At 40.6% G+C, this 22,217-nt stretch overlaps 1 protein-coding gene across 6 annotated transcripts in view, besides 3 other annotated features; it reads left to right on the forward strand.

Annotated features, from left to right (window-relative positions):
* WHAMM (WASP homolog associated with actin, golgi membranes and microtubules) overlaps positions 1 to 22,217 on the forward strand; it is a 26,481-nt gene continuing 4,264 nt past the window's right edge. Inside the window, exons 1-9 of one of the 6 annotated variants that reach the window (NM_001080435.3) lie at positions 1 to 708; positions 3,476 to 3,649; positions 7,065 to 7,215; positions 8,293 to 8,462; positions 9,696 to 9,861; positions 13,473 to 13,660; positions 16,783 to 16,869; positions 17,124 to 17,219; positions 20,972 to 21,452. In NM_001080435.3, the coding sequence (NP_001073904.1) occupies positions 100 to 708; positions 3,476 to 3,649; positions 7,065 to 7,215; positions 8,293 to 8,462; positions 9,696 to 9,861; positions 13,473 to 13,660; positions 16,783 to 16,869; positions 17,124 to 17,219; positions 20,972 to 21,452 (2,122 nt within the window). In that variant the 5' untranslated portion in view covers positions 1 to 99. Of the gene's footprint in view, positions 709 to 833; positions 1,083 to 3,475; positions 3,650 to 7,064; positions 7,216 to 7,251; positions 8,076 to 8,292; positions 8,463 to 9,695; positions 9,862 to 12,083; positions 12,213 to 13,472; positions 13,661 to 16,760; positions 16,870 to 17,123; positions 17,220 to 20,971; positions 21,453 to 22,217 lie in introns of those variants that run through there. The other 5 variants (XM_005272423.5, XM_005272421.5, XM_047432153.1 and 2 more) reach the window with 5 other exon arrangements.
* Positions 257 to 386: a silencer, noted in NCBI's record as "silent region_6754". NCBI's record gives its function as "represses an Ori minimal core promoter by ATAC-STARR-seq in GM12878 lymphoblastoid cells {active_cell/tissue: GM12878}" and the evidence as "EXISTENCE:reporter gene assay evidence [ECO:0000049][PMID:35858748]".
* Positions 407 to 516: a silencer, noted in NCBI's record as "silent region_6755". NCBI's record gives its function as "represses an Ori minimal core promoter by ATAC-STARR-seq in GM12878 lymphoblastoid cells {active_cell/tissue: GM12878}" and the evidence as "EXISTENCE:reporter gene assay evidence [ECO:0000049][PMID:35858748]".
* Positions 737 to 906: a silencer, noted in NCBI's record as "silent region_6756". NCBI's record gives its function as "represses an Ori minimal core promoter by ATAC-STARR-seq in GM12878 lymphoblastoid cells {active_cell/tissue: GM12878}" and the evidence as "EXISTENCE:reporter gene assay evidence [ECO:0000049][PMID:35858748]".

Raw genomic sequence — 22,217 nt, forward strand, 5'->3', positions numbered from 1 at the left:
CTAGCGAAAAATGATTTGGCTCGGACTGTCCCGTGACAGGCGGTGCGAGGAGGCCAGGCCCGCGCCCGCCGAGCCCTAGGGCCGCTGCTGCCGACAGCCATGGAGGACGAGCAGCCTGACAGCCTGGAGGGCTGGGTGCCGGTCCGGGAGGGCCTCTTCGCCGAGCCCGAGAGGCACCGGCTGCGCTTCCTGGTGGCCTGGAACGGCGCGGAGGGCAAGTTCGCTGTGACTTGTCACGACCGTACCGCGCAGCAGCGGCGGCTGCGCGAGGGGGCCCGGTTGGGGCCCGAGCCCGAGCCCAAGCCTGAGGCCGCCGTCTCCCCGTCCAGCTGGGCCGGCCTGCTCTCGGCCGCGGGGCTCCGCGGCGCGCACCGGCAGTTGGCGGCGCTGTGGCCGCCTCTGGAGCGCTGCTTCCCGCGGCTGCCGCCGGAGCTGGACGTGGGCGGCGGCGGGGCCTGGGGTCTGGGGCTCGGGCTGTGGGCGCTGCTGTGGCCGACGCGCGCGGGTCCCGGCGAGGCGGCGCTGCAGGAGCTGTGCGGGCAGCTGGAACGCTATCTGGGCGCGGCGGCCGACGGCTGCGGCGGCGCCACAGTGCGCGACGCACTCTTCCCGGCTGAGGGCGGCGCGGCCGACTGCGAAAGCCCGCGCGAGTTCCGGGAGCGGGCCTTGCGCGCGCGGTGGGTCGAGGCGGACGCGCGGCTGCGCCAGGTAAGCGAGGCCCGGTCGCCGGCGTTCGTCCGCGCTTCCATGGCCTGGGACACTGTGGGAGGCTCCCCCGGCGCCGAGAGCCCTGGCTGACGGCTGACGGGGAGGAGCCGGCGGGCGGAGAAGGCCGCGGGCTCCCCAGTGCCGTCACCTGCGCGGGACCGCTGCGGGAAACCGGCGGGAGCTGCGGGAGGGTCTGCAGAGAGGACAAGCGAAGTTAGAGCCTAGTGTACTTGCAGCTGGGAGCTGGGCTAGGCCCCCAACTTTTGCCCTGAAGATGCTGGCAGAGCAGGATGTTGTAACAGGAAATGCCAGAAATATTGCAAGCAAGACTGAAAACAACCCATCCATGTAGGAAAGAATAACACGGACTAAATGTAAGCAATTCCTGTGTATGAGGGGACGTCGCAAATGGGATAAAATGGTTTAGAGGAAGAAATGGCTTTTAGGAGATAGGGTGTTTTGTTTTAAGTAATATATACTTGGTCAAATGGAAAGCCGGCAGAAGGTGAACTTTATTCATCAGTTTGGAATGACCGCATTAGTGCCCTTTTAAGCTTGAAAGAGGTAGTTTGAGAGAGAGTAATTATTTGAGTGGTAAACTTACTGAACCTAAGGGGAGGGGAAGTACAAGTTCACAGAAGGGTTTAGGAGAAAATATGCCTTCTAAGTCCACACCCACAGTTTATTAAGGAGAGCCAGGCTGGAGTCTCGGCTCACTGCTGTTATTAACCTGAATGATTTTTTTCTGTGCATTCTTCTGAGGAAGGGGAAGTGAAGAGAAGAATTCAGCCTAAGCTAAATGTAGAATAAGCTTTCCAAATTAAAATGGTTTTATAAAAGGAGCTCGTTAGTGGGGTCATTTTTGTACTGTGGGTTTTATGTGTAAATATCTACACACCCACTTCTCGTGTTGATTTCACTTTAGAATATGAGGAAACCACAGGGGAGTTTCAGGCCAGTCAGCGTTTGATCTTCAACTTTATCGTCTTCACCTTAGGATATGAGGAACCCACAGGGGAGTTTCAAAAATGATATCATTTTGTATCAGACTTGTTTTTTACACACTCGGTTTCTCACAGAGATAGGTGGTTTCTCCTTAAAATCGAACATGTTTATGATGTATTTTACTGTAGTAAATACTATCAGAAAAGTTATAGTTTTCCCAAATTTAAGTTCACTCTGGGGTACTATAGCATGAATGTAGTTCATACTGTTGAGCTAGCCGTTCACGTTAGTGTAGTTCACATATTTATCTGGAACTTAAAAATGAGGGGTTGGGAGAGGAAGCTTAAATTCAAAACGTGTTCAAATATATAATTTTAATATTTAGAATGGAAAAGCAATTGATTCTAGAATTAGACCAATTGCTAGTATTGCTAGGATATATAAAATGAAGCTGAATGTTTTAACTCTGGAATTTTTCTGAATAGTTTAAGAAATAAGGCTGAAATGTATCACTTGCCTTAAGTTTACTTTTGCGTGTGTGTTTTGATTTTGTTCAGTGAGGCTTTCACTTAAAAAAAAAACCCATAATATTATTACCTGGATAAAAAACTATAGCTGAAAGTAGATCACTTTATCCTTAAGCAGAAGGATGGAAATAGGAGAATTTAAGAATGTATTGGTTGAAAAAAATCTATATTATTTGATTTTATTTCTCTTCTTCTGGGAGTAAAATAATTTCCTGCCAAGTGAGTCCACCTAGATTATACACTGTTCAGTTTATTTTCTGCCCTGCAGCAGAAGCAGTAACCAGCAGAGACTGGAACCACAGTTGAGGCTCTGTAAATGAGGTGACTGCTAAGGGCTTCATGGGAATATTAATCTGGGGCATTAAGAGAATCAACATGCTGAAGTACTTGGAGACAGCTCTGTAATGTTTTATGAGGTCTTTTTTTAAAATTTTTTTCGAGATGGAGTCTTGGCACTGTCGCCCAGGCTGGAGTGCAGTGGCGCCATCTTGGCTTACTGCAACCTCCGCCTCCCGGGTTCATGCTATTCTCCTGCCTCAGCCTCTCCAGTAGCTGGGACTGCAGGCGCCCGCCACCACGCCCGGCTAATCTTTTGTATTTTTAGTACAGACAGGGTTTCACCGTGTTAGCCAGGATGGTCTCGATCTCCTGACCTCGTGATCCGCCCACCTCAGCCTCCCAAAGTGCTGGGATTACAGGCGTGAGCCACCACGCCTGGCCCTTACGAGCTTTAAAAAGGAATACAGCCTCACAACACCTTTACAGTCAGAAAAGTGAAATGAAAAAATATCCACAACCTCAAACCTTCTTTTGGGTCCCTTTCGCTGCATACTTAGTGCATAGTTGAGATTAAACTTTGCACTCTGCCTCTCCATTTAATATTATAAAAGTGTCTTTTTTTTTGAAATGGAGTTTCCTTCTTGTTGCCCAGGCTGGAACCACTGTCTCCCAGGTTCAAGCGATTCTCTGCCTCAGCCTCCCCAGCAGCTGGGATTACAGGTGTGAGCCACCATGCCTGGACAAAAGTCTCCATATTATTAAACAATCTTCAGAAGCACAGTGCTGAATGACTACAGTAATAATATTCTTACATGGATATATCATACTTTTCTTAACCATTCTTGTTTTATTGGGCATTTTTGATGGAGGATGATAACATTTTCATATTTAATCAGTATTTAAAATTGATGTATTAAAAGTTGAGAACATGAAGGTTTCTTTTGTTTAGTTTTGTTTGTTGGGTATGTATTAAATATACTGTCCTGACTTGAGCTTTATTCACATTTGCTTTCTAGGTTATTCAAGGACACGGAAAAGCCAACACCATGGTAGCATTAATGAACGTTTACCAAGAGGAAGATGAAGCATACCAGGAATTGGTTACCGTGGCAACCATGTTCTTCCAGTACTTATTGCAGCCATTTAGGGCTATGCGAGAAGTTGCAACTTTATGTAAGCTTGATATTTTGGTATGTTTTTTTAAAATTTTTACTTTATCAGATTTACTATTTGTCATAAATTATTTCTTTATTTACACTTAATGTTCAATCTCTGTTTGTACTTTGTTTGGGTTTACCATTATGTTTATTTATTTACTTATTTATTGATAGAGATGAGGTTTTGCCATGTTGCTCAGGCTGGTTTCGAACTCCTGAGCTCAAGCAGTCTGTCCACCTTGGCCTCCCAAAGCACAGCATTACATGTGCCTAGTTTACCCTTATATGTACATATTGAGTTTATATTTAAAATTGATAGAAAATGAAGACATTTACGTTGGTCATCTTAATAGCTTAAGATTCCTACAGATTTGAAAGAGTTAAATGTTTTTTCTGGTGATGAATTTTTTTTTTTTTTTTTTTTTTTTTTTTTTTGAGACAGGGTCTCCCTTTGTCAGCCAGGCTGGAGTGCAGTGGCATGATCTTGGCTCACTGCAACCTCCTCCAGGTTCAAGCGACTCTTCTGTCTCAGCATCCTGAGTAGCTGGGATTACAGGTGTGTACCACCACGCCCAGCTAACTTTTTTTGTATTTTTAGTAGAGACGGGGTTTCACCATGTTGGCCAGGCTGGTCTTGAACTCCTGACCTCAAGCGAGCTACCCATCTCAGCCTCCCAAAGTGCTGGGATTACAAGCATGAGCCACTGCACCCAGCCTGATGAATTGTTTTTGATGTGATATTTATTTGCTTCAGCTTGTTTTCCTCTAAGGACTTACGCAGATTTCTTAAAATAAGATGAAAATTTAAATAGCAGGACCCTAGATTGTAATTCAGTAACTTAAATTTTAGTAAATGCTGTTATCACTCTTGCTTCATTGAGCCATCAGACAACCCTGTGACATCATTCAGAAAAGGCATGCTTATTCCAGTGTTACAAATGAATCTAGAGTCCAGAGGAGTTAAACAGCTTGCCTTGGGTCTCAACAACAGAAATCAGAAGACACCTAAGATGTCTCTTGGTTTCTGCCCCCTGCACCGGGCCATCTTTCCACATATAATCTCATGACCCTTGCCAGATGATTGTATTATAAAAATAGTATCACATTTAGATGAGAGTCATACCACTCTAACCTGTGGATAAAGTTGTTCTGTTCATTATTTTGAAAGTCTATTATTTGGAAAGTCTACTTCTTGCATACATTTTTCCTTTCTTCTTTTTTTTTGAGATAGAGTTTTGCTCTTGTTACCTAGGCTGGAGTGCAGTGGCGCAGTCTCAGCTCATCGCAACCTCTGCCTCCTGGATTCAAGCAATTCTCTTGCCTCAGCCTCCCGAGTAGCTGGGATTACAGGCATGTGCCACCACGCCCAGCTAATTTTGTATTTTTTTAGTAGAGACGGGGTTTCTTCATGTTGGTCAGGCTGGTCTCGAACTCCCGACCTCAGGTGATCTGCCTGCCTTGGGCTCCCAAAGTGCTGGGATTGCAGACATGGGCCACCACACCCAGCCTATATTTTTCCTTTCTTTTTTTTTTTTTTTTTTTTTGAGACAGAGTCTCGCTCTGTCGCCCAGGCTGGAGTGCAGTGGTGCAATCTCAGCTCACTGCAACCTCTGCCTCCTGGGTTCACGCCATTCTCCTGCCTAAGCCTCCCGAGTAGCTGGGACTACAGGTGCCCGCCACCATGCCCGGCTAATTTTTTTGTATTTTTAGTAGAGATGGGGTTTCAACATGTTAGCCAGGATGGTCTTGATCTCCTGACCTCGTGATCCGCCCGTCTCGGCCTCCCAGAGTGCTGGGATTACAGGCGTGAGCCACCGCACCCGGCCTGTTTTTCATAAAAGGTGTTTTAAGATATCACTCACAGATTTTATATATATATATATATATATATATATATATATATATATATATAGTACAATTCAGTGATTTTTAGTATATTCAAAGTTGTGCAGTGATCATTACTGTGTAATTTCAGGACATTTTCACCCCCAAAAGAAACCCTGTACCCTTTAGTCACTCCCAACCCTGGGCAACCACCAATCTACTTTCTGTCTCTGTGGATTTCCCTACTCTGGACATAGCAACAGCATTATTCAATATGTGGTCCTTTCACTCAGCACAATGTTTTCAAGGCTAATCCACGTTGGAGCAAATATCAGGATTTCATTTCTTTTTATTGCTGAGTAATATTCATTGTATGGATATATTACATTTTATTTATCAGTTGATGGACATTTGGGTTGTTTCCACTTTTTGGCTATTATGAATAATTCTGTGAATGTTTGTGTGTAAGTTTCTGTGTAGACATATGTTTTCATTGCTCTTGTGTATGTACTAAGGAGTAGGATTGCTGGGTCCTGTGATTACTCAATGTTTAACCTTTTGAAAGACTGCCAGACAGTTTTCCAAAGTGGGTGCATATTTTATATTCCCAAAAGCAGTAAATGAGGGTTCCGGTTTGTCCACATTATCACCAGCACTTGTTACTGTGTGTCTCTTTGGTTACAGCCATCCTAGTGGGTGTGAAGTGGTATCTCGTTATGGTTTTGATTTGTAATTCCTTGTCGGCTAACTTGTACATATTTCTTAGGCTTTGTAGAAGAAAAATTGCATATTGGATGACATAGCAGTACACGTCTTAGTTCAGGCTGTTATAACAAAGTACCGTAGATTAGTGGCTTATAAACAACAAAACTTTTTTTTCACAGTTCTGGAGGCTGGGTAGTCTGAGATCAAGGTGCTCACAGATCCATTGTCTTGTGAGGGCCAGTTTCTTAATTTGTAGATGACTGTCTTGCTGTGTCTTCGCATGGTGAAGAGCAGAGAAAGAGAGATCCTGTGTCTCCTCTTCTTTTTATAAGGGCATTAATCCCATTCTTGAGGGTTCCACCCTCATGACCTAATTACCCCCCAAAGGCCCCATCTTCAAATATGATCACACTGGGGATTTAGGCTTCAACATATGCATTTTGGGGGGAGTCCAATACCAGTACATGTTATAAGCATGAATATACAGATACTATATTTTAGGTGATTATATTACATATCCCTAAAAGAAACAGTAACAACAGCTAATACTTAAGTGCTGTGTTCCAGGCCCTATGCTGAGTGCTTGACAACACAGATCACTCATTTAAACAATTGTGTATTATTATTAATAGAAGCATAAGTTGACAACATTCCTCTCTAGAAAAAGTTATTCTAGGCATGTGAAGTGAAAGTGGGTTTTTTTTTCGCTTTATGCCCCAGAGTGTCCTTTTGTCTTACAGGTGGTGCTCAGCTTAGAGCCTTATTCATACGCAGTAAGGGACTGCTGAATGAATGAAAATTTAATTGACTGAGTAGTAGTGTAGTTAAATTAATCCATGTGACCAATTTCCTTTCAATTTCCTAATGGCTCTACATAACTATTAGCTCTTACTAAGAAAATTTTCCCTTCTGTCTGTAGAAGTCTTTGGATGAGGATGACCTAGGTCCTAGAAGGGTAGTTGCCCTGGAGAAAGAAGCTGAAGAATGGACCAGACGGGCTGAAGAAGCTGTCGTCTCTATTCAGGATATCACAGTGAATTATTTTAAGGAGACAGTAAAAGCATTAGCAGGTGATAATTTAAAAAATGCTATATGAAGATACATGTAATTGATTATCATTTTATTCAAATACCATTTGAGTCCCTCTTACGCACTAGGTACTATGTTTTCTAGGTGCTGAGAATTCAGTGTCAAGCGTTAAGAGACGTTGTACAGTCTGGTGAAGGGAGAGAAATCTTAATTATCTATTCATTGAAGCACATGGAAAATGGCAGTGACAGTAAATGGCACAAAGAAGAGAGACATGGGCTCTGAGGGTCTGTGAGAGAGAAATTGGGCTTGATCAGGGTGGTGGTCACTGAAGGCCTCTGAGAAGTGGCGCTTGCCCCAATATCTGAAGGGTAAATGGAAGTTGAGAGAAAATAAAAAGTGAGGAGTATTCCGGGCAGAAGGAATAGCACTGCCAAAAGTCCCCTGCCTTGAGGGAAGTTGGCAAATTAGGAGCTTAAAGAAAACCTGCGGGGCTGGATCGCAGAGAGTGCAGGACAGTGTGGTATGAGGGAAAATGCTGGCCAGACAGGCAGGGGTCAGACCATGCAGGGGCTTGTGGGCTGGGTGAAGGACTTTTTTTTAGTCTTAAATAATTGTTGATAAAAACACCAAGTAGGAAACAACTTAACGTCTGTCAGTTTGTTAAGTTATGGTACCTTCATAAAACAGAAAACTACGTAGCTGTTAAGCATGATTCTTGATTTTTTTTTATGAGTGGCAAGAGTTTCTGATACATTGTGCAGAATCAACAAGATAGAAAGCAGAATGATGATCCTGGTTTTGTGGTCAAACTATCCATATGAGCCTGTCTGTCTAGCTAGACATAGAAACAATATGGAAGCAAGTGTGCCAAAATATAAGAAGCAGTTGCCTCAACTAGGTGAGATCATGACTTACTGTCTTTTTAAAAATGGAATACCTAAAATTTTATATCAATGAACATGTATTATTTTTATCATAATAAAAAAGTTAATAAAATTTCTTTTAAAAAGGATATTCTGCAGGTAGTATGGAGGCAATAAAAAAAGGATTAGCTCATGATAAATGTTTCCCTTTTTAATGAGGTGTAATTATATTTTATTTTTATAATCCAACAGGAATGCAGAAAGAAATGGAACAGGATGCGAAGAGATTTGGTCAGGCTGCCTGGGCCACAGCAATTCCCAGGTTGGAAAAACTTCAGCTAATGCTAGCTCGAGAGACTCTGCAACTCATGAGAGCGAAAGAGTTGTGTTTAAATCACAAAAGAGCTGAAATTCAGGGAAAGGTAAGACAAAGATAAACATAACTTTGTTTTAAAAATACACTTTTATTTTTAAAACATTTTGTATAAATAAAGGATACAAGTGCAGTTTTTGTTCCATGGATATATTGTGTAGTGGTGAAGTTTGGGCTTTTAGTGTAATCATCACCTGTATAATGTAATTGTACCTATTAAATATTTCTCATCCCCCCTCCCACCCTCTTACTCTTCTGAGTCTCCAGTGTGTATTATTCCACACTGTGTATACACATTACTTAGCTCCCACTTATAAGTGAGACCATGTGGTAAAGCACACTTTTATTTTTAGATAGCACTTTTCTTTCCAGGCATCGTTAAAGAGCTTCTTTTCTTCGCTTATTCCAACACCATCTTCTGTGGAAGGTTAGACATAAAGTTTTCCTTTGGTTAAGATGTTTCAAAATACCATATTGTAGGTTTCACTTTATAGTAATACCAAGCTCAGTATTGAAATGGGTACTGTACTTGAAAATCAACCCAGCAATGTTTTCACTACAACTTTAAAATAATCAAAGAGATACTTCACTGCATAGTCACTTAAATTTTTTCCTATAATCTTATGACTTTAAAGCAGAAAACACTGTAAACACCTGTCTTAGTTGGCTCAGGCTTCTATAACAAGATTAAATATCACAGATTGGGTGGCTTAAACAACGGACATGTATTTCTCACAGTTCTGGAGGCTGGAAAGTCCAAGATCAAGGTGCCTGCAGATTCACTGTCCGGTGAGGATCCTCTTCCTGTCTGGTAGACAGCTGCCTTCTTAACTGAGTGCTCATATAGCCTTTCTTCTGTGTGTATGTTTAGAAAGAAAGTGATCCCTCTCTTTCTCTTCTAATAAAGGCACTAATCCCATGATGGGGGTGCTATCCTTTTGACATAATCTGAACTTAATTACTTCCAAAGGACCCACCTCCAAATAACATCACACTGGGAGTTAGAGTGTCAACATACGAATTTTTGGGGGGACACCAATATGCAGTACATAATAATACCTCATTGCCATTTATGTTTCTCAGAACCTAAATGTTTTCCTCTGTTTCAAGGATGAGATAAAGTATTTGCATCACTAGATGAAATGAAAAAGTGTTTCTTTCCTATTTGCTTTGTTATATTTAGTACTGAACAAGGAATAGAAAATAGCTAGAATGCTTCTAAAGTTTGTTTTTAATATACTAATTTATTTTAACTTATTTTTCTTTTTTCTATGAAAATAAGATGGAAGATCTTCCAGAACAAGAAAAAAATACAAATGTTGTAGATGAATTAGAAATACAATTTTATGAAATTCAATTAGAACTATATGAAGTTAAATTTGAGATATTAAAAAACGAAGAAATACTGCTTACTACACAGTTGGACTCTCTTAAAAGACTTATAAAAGGTAAAATTTAAGTATATAGATTGCAATGTTTAAATTATAAATTTAAGGAAATACAGACCATATTATCAATTACTTTTTGTAAATTATAACATCTGAAAATTTCCTAAAGTTTTCCTTCAGTGGTTTATTATTCAAATAATATATTCATTGTTAACACATAGCAAAACAAAGAAAGAAAAATGATTATTACCCCAATCCCATCATCTAGAGATGCTTAGTGGTTGGCTGGGCACAGTGGCTCACGCCTATAATCCCAGCACTGTGGGAGGCCGAGGCGGGCAGATCACTTGAGATTAGGAGTTCCAGACCAGTCTGGCCAACATGGTGAAACCCCATCTCTACTAAAAATACAAAAATACTAAACCCTGTCTCTACTAAAAACACAAAGTCCAGTGTGGTGGCACGTGCCTGTAATCCCAGCTGCTTGGGAGGCTGAGGCAGGAGAATGGCTTGAACCTGGGAGGTGGAAGTTTCAGTGAGCCAAGATCGTGCCACTCCACTCTAGCCTGGACAACAGGGCGAGACTCCATCTTGAAAAGGAAAAAAAAAAAAAGATACTTCGTGGTAACAATTTGCTGTATAACTTTGTAGATTTTAAAATATGCTGATATATAAAAATATAAATTTTTAACCAAAATATATAACCAGTTCAGTAACATCTTTTTAAACAATTTTTAATTTTTATGGGTGCATAGTAGATATATATTTTTATGGGTTACATGAGATATTTTGACATAGGCATATAATGCATAATAGTCTCTTTTTCATTTAATACATAACTGTCTTTCTATTTCAGTGAATAATAAAAGTATCAAAATTTTAATGGCTGCATAGTATTCCATTATATGGATATACCATGATTTCCAAATTTCAGGTGTTTTGAACAGTAGTGTAGTGAACTTTACACATGTCTTTGAGTATAGGACAGATTATTTCCTTGGAATAAATTTCTAAGGATGGAATTATTGGGTCAAGGGCAATGTATATTTTACATTTTGATACATAACAGTACAATAATCATCTGAGATACATTTTTCCTCACCTCCATATTATTTTCTGATTTCTAAATTTCATGCTACATAATGACCCTCTAGATAGGTTGTACATTTAAAATGATGCTCCCAGGCTGGGTGTGGTGGCTCACACCTGTAATTTCAGCACTTTGGGAGGCTGAGTGGGGCAGATCACTTGAGGTCAGGAGTTCAAGACCAGCTTGGCCGACATGTTGAAACCCTGTCTCTACTAAAAATACAAAAATTAGCTGGGCATGATGGTAGGCGCCTGTAATCCCAGCTACCTGTGAGGCTGAGGCAGGAGAATCGCTTGAACCTGGGAGGTGGAGATTGCAGTGAGCCGAGATGGTGCCACTGCACTCCAGCCTGGGCGGCAGAGTGTAAGACTCTGTCTCAAAAAAAAAAAAAAAAAAAAAAAAGAAAAAAGATGCTCCCATCAGCAGAATATGAGTGTGTATGTTTCCCAGACTCATGCCATTCTTTTGCATTTTTGCTTACTTGACAGAGAAAATGGCAGTCTTCCAATTTTCATTTATTTAATTATGAGTGAATATTGAACAAAATTTTGTATGTTTACGAGCCATTTGTACTTATTTTATGAAATGCCTATTCATAGTCTTTGTCCATTTTTCTTTGGAATATTTCCTTTCCACATTAAAAATAATATCCTCTATTGTCTGTCATATGTTGCAAATAATCTCTCCTTGTCATTTGTGTTTTCTTGCCTTTCAGAAATATTTAATTTTTATGAAGTCACGTTTATCAATTTTTTTCCCCATGGCTTCTGCTTTTAGTATTATGTCTGGCAATATTCTCCAATCCCAAAATTATGTCAATATATGCTTATGTTTTCTTTTCGTATGTTTATGATGTTGCTTTTTAAAACATTTAATTCTTTAGTCCAGGTGGAATTTATTTTGATTGTCGTAGGAATTGAACCTTTCCCTCAAATTGTTAAGCAGTCCCAATCACTGATTTTAAAAACATTTTCCCTAAATGTTTAACATTTCTCAAGTTAAACATTAGATTGACTTTGGTCTGTTTCTGTGTTGTTCTCCTCCATTGGTTTGTGAGTGGCTTCTGCTGCTGGCTCCATACCGTTCCCATGACTGTACCTTGGAAGCACATTTTAGGGTCTGGTAAGGCAAGTACCTCCCCCATTACTTCTCCACAAGTTTTCTGACTATTTTCACTCCTTTATTCTTCCAGATGAAATTTAGAATCAAGTTCAAAACAAAAACTCGTTGGAATTTTGATTGTGATTTTGCTTAAAATTAGAGATTACTTTGGGGAGAATAGTGGTCTTTGCAATTTTGAATCTTCCTACCCAAGAACATGGTATGTCTCTCTCCATTTATTTAAATCTTTTTTCCTAAAGTTCCTCCAAGTTTAATAAATTTCTTCACATAGATCCTGAACTTTTAGTTTAATCCTGAGTATTCAGAATTTTTTGCAGTAGTTTCAGGTTATAAGCATTTTACATATTTAGGAAAAAAATTACATTAAAAAAAGAAGTTAATCTGGAAGGATGCATGCCAGATTGTTCATAATGTTTTTCCTCTGAGAATGACTCAGAAGGTTTGGGGAAGGAGCAAGACAATTTCACTGTTTTATGTACTTCTGGAGGGTTTGAATTTGTTACAGTAAGCATGGCTTTAAAAAAAATCAATATGTAATCAAGATTATATATGACTAAGACATCTTAATAATATATTGCTGGTAGAATATAAGTTGCCTTTCTGGAGGGCAATTTGTCAATGGGTATCAAGATCCTTAAATATTTATCTGCTAAGGAAGTGATAAAAAGTGTACACAAAGATTTATACAGGGATGTTCATCACAGTGAAATGAATAATAGTGGAACATTGGAACAGCCTAACAACATGGACTGCTTAAATTAGAGAATACTATGCTGCCATTAAAATTTATCTTTTTAAATTTTTTTTTATTTTTGGAGATGGAGTCTTGCTCTGTTGCCCAGGCTGGAGTGCAGTGGCACGATCTTGGCTCACTGCAACCTCTGCCTCCCAGGTTCATGCTGTTCTCCTGCCTCAGCCTGCCAGGTAGCTCGGATTATAGGCATGCGCCACTGTGCCTAACTAATTTTTGTATTTTTAGTAGAGACGGGGTTTTGCCGTGTTGGCCAGGCTGGTCTTGAACTCCTGACCTCAGGTGTTCCGCCTGCCTTGGCCTCCCAAAGTGCTGGGATTACAGGCGTGAGCCCCTGCGCCTGGCCTAAAAATGTATTTCCATCCCATGGAAAATGTTCTTTTAGAACTCCATTGATATGTGTAGCTATGTAAGTAGTATGTGTGTGTGTGTGTATATATATATATACACACATATGTCTATATACATGTATGTATACATGCATACACTACATGGATATACACACATGCTACTTACATACATGTATATAGTCATGTATATACACATGTGTGCATGTATATTACATATACACATATTTTTCATATATGTTAATAGTGCTTCTCAGTGGTGGGATTACAAGTGATCTTTATTTTTCTTACATTTAAAAAAATTCAATGCATTTTTTAAAATAATAAAATATGTTTTAAACAATCATTAATACATTTTTAGAAAAACAAGATGAAGTTGTCTATTACGATCCATGTGAAAATCCAGAGGAACTTAAAGTCATTGACTGTGTGGTGGGGCTGCAGGATGATAAGAATTTGGAAGTGAAAGAACTCAGAAGGCAGTGCCAGCAGCTGGAGTCTAAACGGGGCAGGATCTGTGCCAAAAGAGCCTCTCTCCGGAGTAGAAAGGTAGGTACGCTCAGAGCGGCTTTCTTTTCTTTTCTCTTTCAGAGATTTATTCTTGTATGAAGGATAAAGGTATTGAAATAAGGTTTTTACCAACACAGTGATTACATTTTGTGTGCTTATGTACTTATCCATGGCTATAGTTAAAATGCTTTTAAATATTTTTCTTAAAAATATTTTTTTTCTTTTGGGATTTAAGCATTTAGCAAATCTCAAGGTTTTAATTTATTCATTCAACAACTATTTGTTGAATGCCCATTGCATACACAGGCACACAGGCACTTTATTTTTATTTTTTTGAGACAGAGTCTTGCTCTGTCACCCAGGCTAGAGTGCAGAGGCATGATGTTGGCTCACTGCAACTTCTGCCTCCTAGGTTCAAGCGATCCTCATGCCTTAGCCTGCCAAGTAGCTGGGTTTACAGGCACGCGCCAGCACGCCCAGCTAATTTTTGTATATTTTGTAGAGGTGGGGTTTCACCATGTTGGCTAGGCTGGTCTTGAACTCCTGACCTCAAGTGATCCGCCCACCTTGGCCTCCCAAAGTGCTGGGATTACAGGTGTGAGCCACCACCCCTGGACCACAGTACTTTAAAAACCACAATAGGTAGAAACTCTATTTCTAATAGCCAACTATAACAATTCTAAATATATTTTACTGTAAATTATTGAGTACACAAAAGAATTACAGATAACAATATTCAGCTCACCTCAGACATTATATTTGGTGATTTTTTTTCTTAATTTTAAAAAATCCATGAATACATAAAAAGATAACACTAAGAAATTTAATTTTCTCTGACAGAAAAGGAAGCTCCTATATATCATTTTTATACAGACTTTTATATGTATTTACTCATATTTACTATACTTTTCTCCTTTTTTTTTTTTTGAAACAGAGTCTCGCTCTGTCTCCTAGTCTGGAGTGCAATGGCGCAATCTCAGCTCACTGCAACCTCCACCTCCCAGGTTCAAGCGAGTCTTCTGCCTCAGCCTCCCGTGTAGCTGGGATTACAGGTGCCTGCCACCACACCCGGCTAATATATATATATATATATTTTTGAGATGGGAGTCTCACTCTGTCGCCAGGCTGGAGTGCAGTGGCACGATCTCGGCTCACTGCAACCTTCATCTCCAGGATTCAAGCCTGCCTCAGCCCCCTGAGTAGCTGGGATTACAGGCATGTGCCACCACCCCTGGCTAATTTTTGTATTTTTAGTAGAGACGGGGTTTCACCATGTTGGCCAAGCTGGTCTTGAACTCCTGACCTCAGGTGATCCACCCGCCTTGGCCTCCCAAAGTGCTGGGATTACGGGCATGAGTCACAGCGCCTGGCCACACCCGGCTAATTTTTGTATTTTTAGTAGAGACGGGGTTTCACCATGTTGGTCAGACTGGTCTTGAATTCCTGACCTCAAGCAATCCACCTGCCTCAGCCTCCCAAAGTTCTGGGATTAGAGGCGTGAGCCACTGTGCCCAGCCTACTATATTTTTCTTATTAGAATTAAGAAAACATGAAAATTGTGACTTTTGTAGCTTATAAAAATGTTCATTACTCTTCCATGTAAATACAAATACTTAAGAAAAACTTCGCTAGGTGCCATGGCTTATGCCTGTAATCCCAGCACTTTGGGAGGCTGAGGTGGGAGAATCACTTAAGGCCAGAAGTTCAAGACCAGGGACAACACAGTGAGACCTCATCTCTATGGTGCGCACCTATAGTCCCAGCTACTCAAGAGGCTGAGGCAGGAGGATCGCTTGAAGCCAGGATGTTGAGGCTTCAGTGAGCTATGATTGTACCACTGCACTTCAGCTGGGGTGATAGAACAAGACCCTGTCTCTAATAAAAAAATAAAAATAAAAAACTTTGTTAGAAGAGTATATTCTTTGCATGTTTGTGTTTAAGAATTGTACTTCTGGATTTAGGAACTGTTATTCAGAGGATTTGAAGATATACAGGCATTTGCCCTTTGCTCCACATTTCAGAAAACCCATGAGCCCCAGGAAGACTCTCCTTTGGCACTCCCATGGTGCTGTGGATGAACAGATGCCTCCACCTCCTTGGCAGTGTTTTTTATATATATATATAAAATGCTCCTATGCCTTCTCTTATCCAGACTTGGAGCATTAACCTTCACTCTCAAGATATAATCACTCCCCCTACCCCATTTAGAGGAGCTCTTTCCACTGATTCTGGAAATGTTGGAATTTGGAAGGCACTCAGTTAATAGAATGGTAGTTGAGGTGAGCTATCAACTTGGGTTCAAATCACAGCTTGGCCACTTAGGTAGCCATGTGACCTTAGGCAAATTACTTAAATCTCTTTCGAGCTCACAGTTTTCTCATCTGTTAAAAGAGGATGATAGGCTAGTGCGGCACCCGTAATCCCAGCTACTCGGGAGGCTGAGGCAGGGGAATAGCTTGAACCCGGGAGGTGGAGGTTGCAGTGAGCCGAGATCACGCCACTGCACTCCAGCCTGGGCAACAAGAGCGAAACTCAGTCTCAAAAAAAAAAAAAAGATGATAGTGGCAATAATACAAATTTCATGTGAGGATAAAGTATCATAAGGCATGAAAAGTACTTGGCATTGAGGCTGAAACCTACTCAATAAATGTTAGTATTATCTGTATTACTGTATTATTTTTTACATAGATGAAGGATTTTATGTGCATATCGCATATTATATATTGGTACAGTGCGTGGTTAAGCACAGGTGAAACAGTTCTAATTTTTCAGGTATTTGTAGGTTGCTCTGCTTTTGTAGGTATGCTCGGAAATGTGATGAGTATTAATAATGTTATGGGGAAATGTGTTTAAACAGTCACATTAAAACATTGTTGGGACACATCCCATTTAAGAATGGCGACTGCCTATGTGTCCTCTCATGGTTGGCGGATTGTTTTTCATCTCTTAAAGCACTCTGCTGGGAACAAATTATTTCCATAAGCAGCCAGGCAACCCTCATCATAGACTGCGGAGGAGACAGTACCATTGGGCCGCTCCAGAACTAATATTAATGAATGCCTTACACTATAGCCCAAATGCAGTGCTTTTTTCTTTTAATCTTTTATGCTATACCAGGGTAATATTAAAAACCATGTAGGTGATTTGTATTATTCCACCAGGATCAGTGCAAAGAAAATCATCGGTTCAGATTGCAACAGGCTGAAGAAAGCATAAGATACTCTCGTCAGCATCACAGTATTCAGATGGTGAGTCTCCTCCGAAGGAAAATGTTCTATGTTTGTGTAGCGTGACATGCAGGCCTAGACTTGTGGAAACTGGAGTTGCGCTGCCCTGGACCTGCAGCTGTCAGCCATTAGCCTCCAGGTCTGCAGCCTGGGCGCAGCCTTGGGGTGGTAATGTTGGGGTACAGCCTCTTTCTTTGCTGAGACATTTTTATTGTATGCCAAGACATTTTTTGTAATGTTGAGCAATTTACAAATATACATTTGTTTAAATATAGAAAAGAGACAAGATAAAAGAAGAGGAGCAAAAGAAAAAAGAATGGATCAACCAAGAACGTCAAAAAACACTCCAACGATTGAGATCATTTAAAGATGTAAGTTCTATAAACAATCACCTCATCTACACTTCTGGGGAAATAACTGAAGACCACCCTAAAAAAGATGAAAGTATGAAGTATTAAGAACAGGTCATTCAGAACGTGAAACATTTAAAAAATACCATTATTTCTGGTATATCAATAAAAAACAACAAAAATAGAATATCAGTGATTCAAAACCCATGATACAAAATAACTGCTGTTTTTGACATCACAACACGCTTGGGTTCCTGCTCTGCACTCCTCACTGAGTAGTCCTAACTGGCACTGGTGGTTTAGATTGGCAGGGAAAACTGAAAACTGTTCAACTCCCTTGACTTTAGCTGGCATTTCCCCTCATTTGTAATAAACAATTCTTTAAAATGTTATCCAGGCAGCATTGTGATATAAGTGTAGTGAAAGTGCCCTGTTAAAAGTAAAATTTAGTGGGTTTTTTTTTGATATCTACAACTTTCTTTTTTCTTTTTTTGAAGTATATACTTATGAGGATAATGTTATTTTTTTATGCCCTCTGTTCTAGGCCTACATTTGTATTTCCTCCACAAAATGATCCTGAGTCTAATTTTTTTCTATTTGTTGACTTTATTATTAGAGATAAATTCCTTTAAAAAAAGCTGCTATGAAAATTCAAAAAATAATTTTTTGCTTTTATTTTTAATTGACACATAATCATTGTACATATTTATGAGGTATAGTGTGATATTTTGATACAGGTGTATAATGTGTAATGATCAAATCAGGGTAATTAGCATATCCATCACCTCAAACATTCATCTAAAGGTAAATAGGTTTTTTAAAACAATGTAAATAGGGAGTCAGGCACGGTGGCTTACGCCTGTAATCCCAGCACTTTGGGAGGCTGAGGCGGGCAGATTCCTTGAGGTCATGAGTTTGAGACCAGGCTGGGCAACATGGTGAAACCCTGTCTCTACTAAAAATACAAAAATTAGCCGGGCATGGTGGTGCATGCCTGTAGTCCCAGGTACTTGGGAGGCTAAGGCACAAGAATCACTTGAGCCTGGGAGGCAGAGGTTGCAGTGAGCTGAACTTGCGCCACTGCACTCCAGCCTGAACAACAGAGTGAGACTCTTCTGTCTCAAAAAAAAAAAGTAAATAGGGGCTTATTTAAGAATATCATTGAATTTACTGACTGTAAAACATAGACCTGCTTTCATTCCCCAGCCCCTTCACAAAGACCCAAGTTTATTGTAGCCCCCAAAAACAACCCACTTTATCCCAGAAAAGATTCTGGAATAGGTATCAGATGCCTTCTGTATACCAGGCACCATGCTAGGCACTTCACATTCACTCTCACTTAGTTCTTGAAACAGCCTTGTGAGATAGTTTCATCACCACTTTACAAATGAGTAACCAAGGTTCAGAATGGTTGGTTACACAACTTAGTTCAAGGTTAAACAGCAGGAATTGAAGCCAGGTCTTACTCCAGAGCCACACAGGGCTTCTCAGCCTGGGCAACACATCCACATCCCCTGGAGAGCTTCTTCTAAGTACTAAGGCCCAGCCCCACCCATAGAAATTCTGATGTGATTGCCCTGGATCGGGGCCTGGGTGTGAACTGCAGCAGGAAGCATGAATTGAAGGAGCTGCATGAATACCAGATGAACACAGAGCCAGTGAGGTAGAGAGGAACTGGCTGGTCACCATCACCAAGAGAGTTTCGATGAACAGAATGGAGTCAGTGTGGAGGAAGGGATCCAAGGGCAACCAGCCCATCTCCTCAGGCCTCACTCAGATCAAGGAATTGTTTGGCAATACAGAAGATTACTTTTTCATGTGTGGGTGATATGAAAATGGGAGGGGTAGGCAGATTTAAAATGACAGAATCAGGCCTCCTAAGCTCCCAGCGAAACTGGAACAATTAGTTAAACGCTAACAAGTTCATCCCAAATTGGGATAAATTACTGGTTTTCTAGTCCAAAAAAGCCCATATGGAGGTATGCACTTGCATGGGGTGATAGGAAAGTCTGTGTGGCTTAAATTTTGGGTAAAAGAATTTAAGAATTCAGTTTCCTTCAGTTTAATGAGCCACCTGTGTGACGAAAGCTCATGGGCTTTTGGGATGTATGGACAGCGGCCATACACAGAATAAGGGAGTTCTGTGTTTACCAAGAAGTGCCACCCTTGAAGGGGACATAGCCAATTTGAGCACATTTGGAAGGGAGGAAGTAGGAGAGGGAGAAAACTAGAAATAAAATCATGTGATGCATGATATCTATTGCGATCAAGAAAGTTTTTTGAATATCTGAAGGGCTGTACAAGGTAAAGGATTTAATTTATCATGCGTGGACAGGCTGTATGTGCAATATAAGGCAGAACTCGGCCAGGCGCCATGGCTCACGCCTGTAATCCCAGCACTTCAGGAAGGTGAGGCAGGTGGATTGCTTGAACCCAGGAGTTTGAGACCAGCCTGGGCAACAAAGTGAGACCCCGTCTCTACAAAAAAACAAAGGCAGAACTTAACAGTCCAGAGTCACAGTGACATGCTGCAGCCGGGATGCCACAGAGGGCATCCTTGGGTGGTTCAGGGAACCCCAGCATCAGGGATGACCTGATCAGTTGGATGGAGATCAGTTGGATGACCACTGGAGTTTAGCCCTCTGGCCCATTTTCTGGGATTCTAATTCTGCTGGCATGGTCTCTGACAGAAGGCTGCAGGACGGCAGCTGCATGGCTGTGTCTGCATCAGGGAGGTTTGGGGGCTTGTCGCCATGACATTGCTATTTGTCCTGAAAGGAGCAGAAAGTGAGGGAAATAGAAATACTCCTTGAGTTTATCGTGGATTGCATGGGGTGTGTGTGTGTGTGTCCTTGAGTTTATCATGGATTGCATGGGGGGGGTGTGTGTGTGTTTAGGTTTGCATTGATAGGATCATATTGAACTCATCCTTTGCCAGTTTCTTTAACTTAGGTTTTTGAGATATATTCATGTTAATATGTATAGAGCTAGTTCATTTTAATGAGTTCATAGTATTACATTTTATGTTTTATTGGCTAATCAGTGCCTTCTTTAGGGACTTCCTCTCAAGATTAGCTCTTTGTAGGGCTAGGTTTTTCTATATCAAATGAATACCTGAAAGACCAGAACTTTTTCAATTTACATTTTTTAAATTATGAAATTAACTCTTAAGCCTAAAAGTAAGAGAAAAGAAATATCCACAGGCTCTGTTATAGCTTCCACTTGGATGTCGACTGTGCTGGCATTTTTCATAGAACTTTTCTCATTTTTAATCATAATACATACTATTTTATATCTGGTTTTCATTGAACACTATCATCTGATTTTTTTCTGATGTTTCAGGCGTTGTACTATTTATCACTTTTTATGGCTTTTTTTTTTTTTGGAGACGGAGTCTTGCTCTGTCGCCGGCTACTTAATATTTTGAATAGATTTGTCATAATTTTTTCAACAAATATCTTATTATTCGTATTTTAGCATTTCTAATTTTCCATACTAAAAGTTGATGACTATTTTCCTCTATATGTATGCTTTCATATCTTCATTTTATTACAGAGAAGGTAATACTTGATCAAAGGATATAAATGCTTATCTTTTTTTTAATCCATGAAAAATGGGTTCGGTAGAAAGGATGGCTGTACAAACAAGGAGTCACTTTGTGAATTAGACCATCCATGCATAGAAACGGATGTGTTTATAGATTTCTAGAAAGTTTCAGCATTTTGATGGTTTGCACTTGTGGCAGATTGCTCACCATGGTTTTTCATTTTCAGAAACGCCTAGCTCAATCTGTCCGAAACACCTCTGGCTCAGAACCTGTGGCTCCAAACCTGCCAAGTGATCTTTCCCAGCAGATGTGCTTGCCAGCTTCCCACGCGGTGTCAGTAATTCACCCGTCCTCTAGGAAAACTAGAGGTGTTCCCCTATCGGAAGCTGGTAATGTGAAAAGCCCCAAGTGTCAAAACTGTCATGGAAATATCCCTGTCCAGGTTTTTGTTCCAGTTGGTGATCAAACACATTCCAAATCCAGTGAGGAATTGTCACTGCCACCACCTCCTCCTCCTCCACCACCACCACCGCCGCCACCGCCGCCCCCACCCCCTCCTCTCCGTGCTCTGTCCTCATCCTCTCAAGCTGCAACTCATCAGAACTTAGGCTTCCGGGCTCCAGTGAAAGATGACCAGCCACGTCCTCTAGTGTGCGAATCACCTGCTGAGCGACCACGTGACTCCTTGGAAAGTTTTTCATGTCCAGGTAATCCACTGGAATTCTGTCCCTGCTCCCCATGAGTTGTTAAGCTGTTGAAGCATTCTAGCTTCAGAAGCCATCATCTTCAAATGGAAATCATTTTTATAATTCTCTATAGCCTTAAAATATTCCAGTATTTGCTGCCTTGAGTATCATTATTCTTTTATTGGAAAGTTAGTATAGTATAGCCTAAATCTGGTTTCATAAATGTTAATTCAGTTTGAAGAAACCATCTCTATACATTTAATGATCGCATGACTTGGGGTTTCTGAGGTTGTTAAAGTATCAACCTATTTGAAGTTTCTTAAGACTTCAGTATGTATTTGATTTCTGCCGTTGGAATACTTTTCAATACTGTTTTAAATTATGCTTACTCTTGCATCTCTGAGTCCTTTATAGAATCCAGTTGTTGTATTTTAAGCAGAATACTGGTTGGAAATTACTGTAGAGGCATACTAGCCAGAATGTAGAAGGCTGTTCTTGCAGACTGACTAGCACACTGAGGACCCTTACTATTGGAAATCTTTCTAAAGTGCAATGGGACAGAAAGAAAAAGTGGGCCACTTGTCTTGGCAAGTGCAGTACACTGAATACTCCTGACAGTTTCTTTAATAGGGCTATAGTTCTCACTCAGAATTTGAATTTTGACTTTAGACATTAAGTGTTGAGGAGAATGGCCTAAATCTGCCTAGACTTGGAGCCTACTTCTTTGGGGGGTATGTGTGTGCACTTTAGATAAATCCTAGCAAAATTTATGTAAATTTGTTTTTA

This window comes from Homo sapiens, chromosome 15 (genome assembly GCF_000001405.40).
Source record: "Homo sapiens chromosome 15, GRCh38.p14 Primary Assembly".
NCBI classification, from domain to species: domain Eukaryota; kingdom Metazoa; phylum Chordata; class Mammalia; order Primates; family Hominidae; genus Homo; species Homo sapiens.